At 36.9% G+C, this 11264-nt stretch overlaps 1 protein-coding gene across 1 annotated transcript; it reads left to right on the top strand.

Moving 5' to 3' along the window:
• The first annotated feature begins 2312 nt into the window (after positions 1-2312).
• OR11H2 (olfactory receptor family 11 subfamily H member 2) lies at positions 2313-3260 on the top strand. Its single transcript, NM_001197287.2, has one exon. It carries the CDS (start codon positions 2313-2315, stop codon positions 3258-3260), a length of 948 nt encoding a protein of 315 aa, NP_001184216.2.
• Positions 3261-11264: the final 8004 nt, after the last annotated feature.

Genomic DNA, 11264 nt, shown 5'->3' with positions numbered 1-11264 from the left:
CTTCACAGCACTTGGTATGAGCATTCACTCACACATGAGTGTTTAGTTACACTATGTTGGCCCCTAAATGTCATAAAGTAAAAATAGAAGAGACACTAATAAATACAAGTAAATACTTCTCTCTATTAATTGGGAAATCACATGTTCCTCTGAAGTATTTCTGTTAATTAACTTAAATGTTGCTACTTCTTATACTTTCTTCTCATATCTAAAGGATTCTGGCAAAAAAGTGCCATCCTTCTAAAAGTTATTTCTAAATTCTGTAAGTTTTTGTTCAATGTGTGACAATGTTGGAACCTCAGTATTTTCCTCACTGGGCTGTATATCCTCCAATATATGCACAGTAACACTTGAAATGTTCCTAAACATTATGTCAAAACTTTTGGTAACATTTTGTATCTTATTTCTCCTCAGACTGTGTCTTCCAGAAGATTTTCTGGAATCCGTCTGGTGGGCAAGCTCTTTGTAAATAATGATGCCTTAGAATAGTTGTCATTACTCTTTACTGATTCTTCAGAGAATATGTAATCATTAACTTTTTAAAGATTCATCTTGGAAGATAACTTTCCTAATGCTATAGAGGCTACATCCCAGGAGAATGTGAGTTTCATAAAGTGCATTTTTAATTTTGGGGCCACAATAAAACTCTGTCTAGCTGAAGACATAATATGATTTATAAAATAAATCATTTAGAGATTTGGTTCCTGTCAAAACGATGATGGCTTCACCTTTTGAGCACTGCTGAGAATCATGACACTCCTGTGTCAATCCCTTTTCATTCCATAATTTCTTAATGTTGGTTTATTAATGATTCTGGTTGGAAGCCTATTAAAGAGACATATATTACTAAAAGAAGCACAAACATAACTTCTAACTAGTCATACGAAAAGACTTCCCAGAGCACTGGTGTAGAGAGCAAGTTGGAAGAAAAACTTTTGAAAATTTGTGTTTCTGCTCAAAATGTCCTCTTGATATCTAGGACTCACATCCCTCCATATTTCTGAGGAAAAGAAAAGTTTTTTCCAGGTAACTCAAATCCCTAATATATTTTTATAAGAATGTAGGAAGAAGGAAGTTTACCTATAACAAAATAAGTGTTTGATTTCTGTCATCTGGTAAAAATTTTCAATTTTAAAAAAAGCATATAAGGAAAATCAATCTCAAAATTTTATGAAATACCTTCAAAAGTAAAGTTTAATGTCTAGATCTTTGCAAACTTTTGTACATAATGACTAAATCAATATTATATTGATTTTATCAATATAATAATCACTATATCAGTTTATGAAATTAAAGTAAAAGATTAATCAGAAGCTTAAAGCCTTTGCTTTCTACAGAAAACATTGCAGCTTTACAATATTAATATTAAAAATCAATATTGGTGAGTAACATTAGATAATCACTTAAGCTAACAACAGCAGCAATAGAAATTCAGAGATAATGGCTTTAACGTGATTGCTACCAATTTATTTTAAAATATGTGCATTTCTTTTGCATATGTAAATAATGTTAAGTAATATGTTTAGCTGAAATGTAAATGGTCAAAACTTTCTTTACTGAGTCTATTGCACCATAAGTTGGGTTTGCAGTAAGAAACTAACACATTTGTGCCTTCTCAAAGTACTAACTTTGAGTTGTATGCTATCCAGAAACTATATTCAATCATTTCTGTCTCAAAATAATGACCTTACAAAAGGAATTTAACTTTACCTAGTTCTATCACGATTGCATATTAAGGAGAGATTTAGAAGATGGCAGAAGTTTGTTTTTGTTCAATCAGCTACCTACGAAGCCCAAAACTCATATACTGTATAGCCGAGAAAAAGTAAACTACATTCTCTTCCTAATTATTCTTTTGAAAAATGACTTCATGTTCATTATCTTCTCTTCATTCTTAAAAAAGGAACACATTTTTTTTTTTTTTTTTTTTTTTTTTTTTTTTTTTTTTTTTTTTTTTTGAGACGGAGTCTCGCTCTGTCGCCCAGGTCGGACTGCGGACTGCAGTGGCGCAATCTCGGCTCACTGCAAGCTCCGCTTCCCGGGTTCACGCCATTCTCCTGCCTCAGCCTCCCGAGTAGCTGGGACTACAGGCGCCCGCCACCGCGCCCGGCTAATTTTTTGTATTTTTAGTAGAGACGGGGTTTCACCTTGTTAGCCAGGATGGTCTCGATCTCCTGACCTCATGATCCACCCGCCTCGGCCTCCCAAAGTGCTGGGATTACAGGCGTGAGCCACCGCGCCCGGCCGGAACACATTTTATAAAAGAGTCCTGACTGATAATGTGTCCCTTGACCTTGCATGTCACTGGCCTAATGAATGTCTCTGAGCCAAATTCCAGCTTTGCTTTTGTAAATGAATTTATACTCCAAGGTTTCTCTTGTGAGTGGACAATTCAGATCTTCCTCTTCTCACTCTTTACTACAATATATGCACTGACTATAACAGGGAATGGAGCCATTGCTTTTGTCCTGTGGTGTGACCGGCGACTTCACACTCCCATGTACATGTTCCTGGGAAATTTCTCCTTTTTAGAGATATGGTATGTCTCTTCTACAGTTCCCAAGATGTTGGTCAACTTCCTTTCAGAGAAAAAAAACATCTCCTTTGCTGGATGTTTTCTCCAGTTTTATTTCTTCTTCTCTTTGGGTACATCAGAATGCTTGCTTTTGACTGTGATGGCCTTTGATCAGTACCTTGCTATCTGCCGTCCCTTGCTCTATCCTAATATCATGACTGGGCATCTCTATGCCAAACTGGTCATACTGTGCTGGGTTTGTGGATTTCTGTGGTTCCTGATCCCCATTGTTCTCATCTCTCAGAAGCCCTTCTGTGGCCCAAACATTATTGACCATGTTGTGTGTGACCCAGGGCCACTATTTGCATTGGATTGTGTTTCTGCCCCAAGAATCCAACTGTTTTGCTACACTCTAAGCTCATTAGTTATTTTTGGTAACTTCCTCTTTATTATTGGATCCTATACTCTTGTCCTGAAAGCTGTGTTGGGTATGCCTTCAAGCACTGGGAGACATAAGGCCTTCTCTACCTGTGGGTCTCATTTGGCTGTGGTATCACTGTGCTATAGCCCTCTTATGGTCATGTATGTGAGCCCAGGACTCGGACATTCTACAGGGATGCAGAAAATTGAAACTTTGTTCTATGCTATGGTGACCCCACTCTTCAATCCCCTTATCTATAGCCTCCAGAATAAGGAGATAAAGGCAGCCCTGAGGAAAGTTCTGGGGAGTTCCAACATAATCTAAGGCATATTAGATTATTCCTCCATGATCAGATCAGTACAGTCTAACAAAGAGAAATCAGAATTATATAGTTATTGAAATCTAAAAAATATGGACCTAGTGATATTGACTATATCAGCCTATGAAATTAAACACCTGTTGGACCCCTTACAAATTAAAGTTGCCAAATCATATAGATAAATGGAAGCGTGTGGTTTCCCTTTGGCACCTAGACTGAGTATTAACTGAGGAATACACATATTTGGGTGTTTTCTGGATAGTTTCCATCTGATTCATCTGTGATAAAAATTCTTTATGTTCTATTTTACTTAAATTTATTGTTCTGAGATTGACAAAATTATAGCTATGTTATTTTGTTTGGTTGGTTGTAAATAAAAGAAGAAAAAATATATTTTCTGATTGTGATTCTTATCATATTTGGGTTTATTATTTTGGTGACATGGTCATTACTAATACATAAGCCCTTATAAGCAATTTATCAACATTTTTGTAGGACAATAAAATATTCTAGCCTAATGATATCCAAACATTACCTCCTTCTGGACCCCTAAAGGGCAGATTCTAAATCCATCTATAATAATATCAGTCAAAATATTCAGAAATGCATTGTTCTAAATACCTAATATTTTTACCTAAATAAGATATCACCAACAACATGATAGGTCAATTTACTGAGTTTTAGATAATAGAATATCTCCCCTAAAGATTGGACAGGGCAATGGTATACTTGTGGATACACTACTTAAGTTCAAAAAATAAAATAAAATCAATGGCAGTTCATTGTCATTTGCTGCTAAAAGAATGTGAAAATAACATGAAGGAAAATTTTTGAAGGAAAAAAGCATTTATAATTCAATTGCTCTAATGTATCTATTTTTGTTAATATGTCTGTTTCATGTGATTTAATGTTAAACTCGCTCCCATTTATAGCAAGTTTTTATAATTATCATTCATAGAAAGCATAATATTTTATTGAACTAACGTGCCATGAATTGTGAATTTTTATGTGGTGAGATGAACATTGTCCTAGACAAAGGGCCTTCCTTTCAAGAAGCTAAGAGCTGACTAGTAAAAGGGAATTTTCAGAAGGGATATTAGGAGAAAAATGAATGCCTCTACTACACAAGAATGACTTCTCACAGAATTTGTACTGCAGCATTCTGGGGTAAGGTTACTGAACACTCCAACATCTTCCTTCCTTCTACCACCAATCTTTTTGTTGAACATTACAGTTATCCCATTTTTTTGTTATAAAATAATATCTCAATAAAATCTTCATAAAGATTTGCCTTGATAATATTTTGCAAACCTAAATTAGGACTCATCATCTAATCTGAAACAGACTGTCCCAGAAAATACAGAATATAAGAATATGATGTGTGTGCAACAATTTTCCTTTCAGATTTTTTGTCTTAGAACAGTTTATTGGGAAAGAGATCATTATTCAGTTCAAAAGGTAAGAATGCATTTGTGAATTGGGGCCCGGACATTCCAGGTAGAACAATTATTTGCTCCTTTCATGTAAGACAGTATCAAGCTTTTACTCAATCTTATTAGAACTCTGCCATATCTCTCACTTGTATAGCCGCTGAGGATCTTTCCTCTTTCTTTACTCCTTTCCAGGGTGTATGACTTTTAAGTTACCTGAGTTCTGATCAGCAAACGGACTCAAGAAGAACAGGTAGTCAAGGCAGGCAATATTTCCACCACAGTTTCAGAACTCCCTACTTTGTATTACTAAGTTAATACATTTGTGCAGCCACTACCTTTGCAAAGGTTTCTTCTTACAACCTCAAATACTATGACTGGTTCACAACCTTTTCCATAGTGCTAAATTATTTGACCAAACACTGCATATATACCATATTTTTTCAAAGCCAAACTGTATCCCAAAGAGAGAGAAGGAGAGAGAAAGAATAGCAATAAAAATACAGTGTTATTTCAGGTTGATATTTAAAAATAATTGTGCTGGTTAATGGTTTCCTTGGGGGAAATGACAATTGAAAGTCGGTATTTTCTACTTTCAAATACAAGTCATGGTGTTTATTAGCTCCCTTTAAATGCTCACTAAGCTGAACAAACTTTGACTCTACCCTCAATTACAACTAATTCCCTCACAAAGGAAAATTTATTTGTACAACCAAACATTATGTACATTCAAGATTACTAGAAAACTTAGGACATAAAGTGCAAGTGCGACAATATTATGAGAAAAGAAAGACTGTGTATTAGTTTAACAGGTTTACATATGCAAATTCACCACCACAGGGTTTGTTCTCTTGGCAACATTGAAAATAATAATAATTAACGTTTTAAGGCAACTATTTTGTGTCAGGCAATATTCCAAGTCTTTTCTATGTATTATTTTATTTCCTACTTATGAAACCCAAAGAAATCAGGTCGGTATTATTGTATCTCTAATTTTTGAAGAGTGAAACAGGCAGAAAAGGTAACTTGCCTAGTTGGAGATGGCGTCTGATCTCAGGCAGGCTAACAATGGAGCCCACAGTTTTTACTACTATCGGGGGAAAGGACCAACACTATAGAATGAAATAGATTGGATCAAATCTAAGTCACTGATTGTGTGAGCTTATGCAAATTATTTGACCTTTCTGCCTAGATTTGTTTAGACTATAAAATATAACTAATGATAATACTTCTGTCAGACAGTGGATTTGATGAATAAATGAGGTAAATCAAGGTAGGATCTTACACATAGTATTTATGGAATCTATTTCAGTTAATATTATTAATGTCTTCCATTTGTAGAGCTCTTCAGCATTTCCCACTTTTATATAGTTGTTCAGTTCATCCTCACAAATTCTGTCATCACACAGTTAAGGTAGACATTCCCATACTCATTTCACTGATGAGATTCAAAGAAATCAAGTATACTGTCCAAGGTCACCCATAGTAAGTGAAGGGGCAAGTTCTTCTGACTTCAAGTTCAATAAGAATTCTGCTGTACCATACATCCTATTCTGGGAAATGTGGCTAAGTCCTGCGTAGCTAACTTCAGAACTACACGGCCATGCAAGCCAAAGAGCTGGATTTACCCCAGAAATTAATGCTGTAGAGAAGAAATGAGTGCAGTAGAAGAACTAAGGGATTTCTTTCCAGTAGTCTTAAGGTAATAACTACTCAAATTATACAAATATTTATGTAAAATGTATTTCACGTGCAAAGTATGTCACTGAGTGAAAATGGCAGATCATGAAACAATATTATTATATAATCTCACACAAACATGAAGTCATGGGATTATGGGTAATTAAGATTCGTTGTTTCCTCTTTTATGCTAATATCTTTATTTCCTAATTTTTCCATGACAAATATGCATTTTTTGTCCAATTTACAAACGACATGTAGTTAAGAAAAAATTAATGTTTACAAATGGATGTATAATTTAAAGCAATGCTTTTAGACACACCACTTACCCACGCTTTCCCTCCACTTTGTGTGTAAGGAAAGGATAATGCTACTGTCTTTGGTAAGCTTTTACCACGTCTTTACAGAGTTTCTCAAGTACTTTTCCACGTGGCGTCACTTTGTGGAGAGGAGTTAATTTGGCACCCTTGTCCTTCTATTTCACTCAGAAGCAGCTCTTTCTGCAAAGGAGAGAGTGGTCCATGGTAGCAAACCCTGGCCTTGTGGTTTTCATTCTAGATTCTTAGAACAACAACAACAACAACAACAACATCAACAACAACAAAAGACAGAGACAGAGAGAGAGAGAATGGAGGAACATGTCATACAATCAAATGAATCTTCCCAAACAAGAGCTTTACCCGGGGACTTCCATCTACACTTGTACACATCTCTCCAGCCAAGCTCCCTACTTACTACCAATACAAGAACCAACTTTAATTAAAAGAGAGTTTGAATTGTTATGTTTTTGATACCTACCTTTTTTTTATTATACTTTGATTTAGGGTATGTGTGCACAAAATGCAGGTGTGTTACATATGTATACATCTGCCATGTTGGGGTGCTGCACCCATTAACTTGTCATTTAGCATTAGGTATATCTCCTAATGCTATCCCTCCCCCCTGCCCCCACCCCACAACAGGCCCTGGCGTGTGATGTTCCCCTTCCTGTGTCCATGTGTTCTCATTGTTCAATTCCCACCTATGAGTGAGAACATGCAGTGTTTGGTTTTTTGTCCTTGCGATAGTTTGCTGAGAATGATGGTTTCCAACTTCATCCATGTCCCTACAAAGGACATGAACTCATTTTTTATGGCTGCATAGTATTCCATGGTGTATATGTGGCACATGAACTGAAACAAATTTGCAAGAAAAATACAAACAATCCCATCAAAAAGTGGGCAAAGGATATGAACAGACACTTCTCAAAAGAAGACATTTATGCAGCCAAAAGACACATGAAAAAATGCTCATCATCACTGGCCATCAGAGAAATGCAAATCAAAACCACAATGAAATACCATCTTACACCAGTTAGAATGGCAATCATTAAAAAGTCAGGAAACAACAGGTGCTGGAGAGGATGTGGAGAAATAGGAACACATTTACACTGTTGGTGGGACTGCAAACTAGTTCAACCACTGTGGAAGTCAGTGTGGCGATTCCTCAGGGATCTAGAACTAGAAATACCATTTGACCCAGCCATCCCATTACTGGGTATATACTCAAAGGATTATAAATCATGTTGCTATAAAGACACATGCACATGTATGTTTATTGCAGCACTATTCGCAATAACAAAGACTTGGAACCAACCCAAATGTCCAACAATGATAGACTGAATTAAGAAAATGTGTCTATTTGATTCTTCTCTCTTTTCTTCTTTATTAGTCTTGCTAGTGGTCTATCAATTTTTTTGATCCTTTCAAAAAACCAGCTCCTGGATTCATTGATTTTTTGAAGGGTTTTTTGTGTTTCTATTTCCTTCAGTTCTGCTCTGATTTTCGTTATTTCTTGCCTTCTGCTAGCTTTTGAATGTGTTTGCTCTTGCTTTTCTAGTTCTTTTAATTGTGATGTTAGGGTGTCAATTTTGCATCTTTCCTGCTTTGTCTTGTGGGCATTTAGTGCTATAAATTTCCCTCTACACACTGCTTTGAATGTGTCCCAGATATTCTGGTATGTTGTGTCTTTGTTCTCGTTGGTTTCAAAGAACATCTTTATTTCTGCCTTCATTTCGTTATGTACCCAGTAGTCATTCAGGAGCAGGTTGTTCAGTTTCCATGTAGTTGAGCCATTTTGAGTGAGTTTCTTAACCCTGAGGTCTAGTTTGATTGCACTGTGGTCTGAGAGACAGTTTGTTATAATGTCTGTTCTTTTACATTTGCTGAAGAGAGCTTTACTTCCAACTATGTGGTCAATTTTGGAATAGGTGTGGTGTGGTGCTGAAAAAAATGTATATTCTGTTGATTTGGGGTGGAGAGTTCTGTAGATGTCTATTAGGTCCACTTGGTGCAGAGCTGAGTTCAATTCCTGGGTATCTTTGTTAACTTTCTGTCTCGTTGATATGTCTAATGTTGACAGTGGGGTGTTAAAGTCTCCCATTATTATTGTGTTGGAGGCTAAGTCTCTTTGTAGGTCATTCAGGACTTGCTTTATGAATCTGGGTGCTCCTGTATTGGGTGCATATATATTTAGGATAGTTAGCTCTTCTTGTTGAATTGATCCCTTTACCATTATGCAATGGCCTTCTTTGTCTCTTTTGATCTTTGTTGGTTTAAAGTCTGTTTTATCAGAGACTAGGATTGCAACCCCTGCCTTTTTTTGTTTTTCATTTGCTTGGTAGATCTTCCTCCATCCTTTTATTTTGAGCCTATGTGTGACTCTGCACGTGAGATGGGTTTCCTGAATACAGCACACTGTTGGGTCTTGACTCTTTATCCAATTTGCCAGTCTGTGTCTTTTAATTGGAGCATTTAGTCCATTTACATTTAAAGTTGATATTGTTATGTGTGAATTTGATCCTGTCATTATGATGTTAGCTGGTTATTTTGCTCATTAGTTGATGCAGTTTCTTCCTAGCCTTGATGGTCTTTACAATTTGGCATGGTTTTGCAGTGGCTGCTATCGGTTGTTCCTTTCCATGTTTAGTGCTTCCTTCAGGAGCTCTTTTAGGGCAGGCCTGGTGGTGACAAAATCTCTCAGCATTTGCTTGTCTGTAAAGTATTTTATTTCTCCTTCACTTATGAAGCTTAGTTTGGCTGGACGTGAAATTCTGGGTTGAAAATTCTTTTCTTTAAGAATGTTGAATATTGGCCCCCACTCTCTTCTAGCTTGTAGAGTTTCTGCCAAGAGATCCGCTGTTAGTCTGATGGGCTTCCCTTTGTGAGTAACCCGACCTTTCTCTCTGGCTGCCCTTAACATTTTTTCCTTCATTTCAACTTTGGTGAATCTGACAATTATGTGTCTTGGAGTTGCTCTTCTCGAGGAGTATCTTTGTGGCGTTCTCTGTATTTCCTGAATCTGAATGTTGGCCTGCCTTGCTAGATTGGGGAAGTTCTCCTGGATAATATCCTGCAGAGTGTTTTCCAACTTGGTTCCATTCTCTGTCACTTTCAGGCACACCAATCAGATGTAGATTTGGTCTTTTCACATAGTCCCATATTTCTTGGAGGCTTTGTTCATTTCTTTTTATTCGTTTTTCTCTAAACTTCACCTCTCACTTCATTTCATTCATTTCATCTTCCATCACTGATACCCTTTCTTCCAGTTGATCACATCGGCTCCTGAGGCTTCTGCATTCTTCACGTAGTTCTCGAGCCTTGGCTTTCAGCTCCATCAGCTCCTTTAAGCATTTCTCTGTATTGGTTATTCTAGTTATACATTCATCTAAATTTTTTTCAAAGTTTTCAACTTCTTTGCCTTTGGTTTGAATTTCCTTCTGTAGCTCGTAATAGTTTGATCATCTGAAGCCTTCTTCTCTCAACTCATCAAAGTCATTCTCCATCCAGCTTTGTTCTGTTGCTGGTGAGGAGCTGCGTTCCTTTGGAGGAGGAGAGATGCTCACTTTTTAGAGTTTCCAGTTTTTCTGCTCATTTTTTTCCCCATCTTTGTGGTTTTATCTGCTTTTGGTCTTTGATGATGGTGATGTACAGATTGGTTTTTGGTGTGGATGTCCTTTCTGTTTGTTTGTTTTCCTTCTAACAGACAAGACCCTTAGCTGCAGGTCTGTTGGAATTTCCTAGAGGTCCACTCCAGACCCTGTTTGCCTGGGTGCCAGCAGCGTTGGCTGTAGAACAGCAGATTTTCGTGAACCACAAAAGCTGCTGTCTGATCGTTCCTCTGGAAGTTTTGTCTCAGAGGAGTACCTGGCCAGGGGATATCACCACCAATCCCACAGAAATACAAACTACCATCAGAGAATACTACAAACACCTCTACACAAATAAACTAGAAAATCTAGAAGAAATGGATAAATTCCTTGACACATACACCCTCCCAAGACTAAAGCAGGAAGAAGTTGAATCTCTGAATAGACCAATAACAGGAGCTGAAATTGTGGCAATAATCAATAGCTTACCAACCGAAAAGAGTCCAGGACCAGATGGATTCACAGCCGAATTCTACCAGGGTACAAAGAGGAACTGGTACCATTCCTTCTGAAACTATTCCAATCAATAGAAAAAGAGGGAATCCTCTGTAACTCATTTTATGAGGCCAGCATCATCCTGATACCAAAGCCGAGCAGAGACACAACAAAAAAAGAGAATTTTAGACCAATATACCTGATGAACATTGATGCAAAAATCCTCAATAAAATACTGGCAAACCGAATCCAGCAGCACATCAAAAAGCTTATCCATCATGATCAAGTGGGCTTCATCCCTGGGATGCAAGGCTGGTTCAATATACACAAATCAATAAATGTAATCCAGCATATAAACAGAACCAAAGACAAAAACCACATGATTATCTCAATAGATGCAGAAAAGGCCTCTGAGAAAATTCAACAACCTTCATGTTAAAAACTCTCATTAATTTTGGTATTGATGGGATGTATCTCAAAATAATAAGAGCTATCTA

This window comes from Homo sapiens, chromosome 14, assembly GCF_000001405.40.
Source record: "Homo sapiens chromosome 14, GRCh38.p14 Primary Assembly".
In the NCBI taxonomy this organism is placed as follows: domain Eukaryota; kingdom Metazoa; phylum Chordata; class Mammalia; order Primates; family Hominidae; genus Homo; species Homo sapiens.
The sequence above is the reverse complement of the archived record's forward strand: the minus strand, read 5'-3'. Positions and strand labels throughout refer to the sequence as shown.

What these genes read in the sequence shown, in the direction of transcription:
- OR11H2 (NM_001197287.2), top strand. Translation starts at nt 2,313, where the DNA reads ATGAATGTCTCTGAGCCAAATTCCAGCTTTGCTTTTGTAAATGAATTT.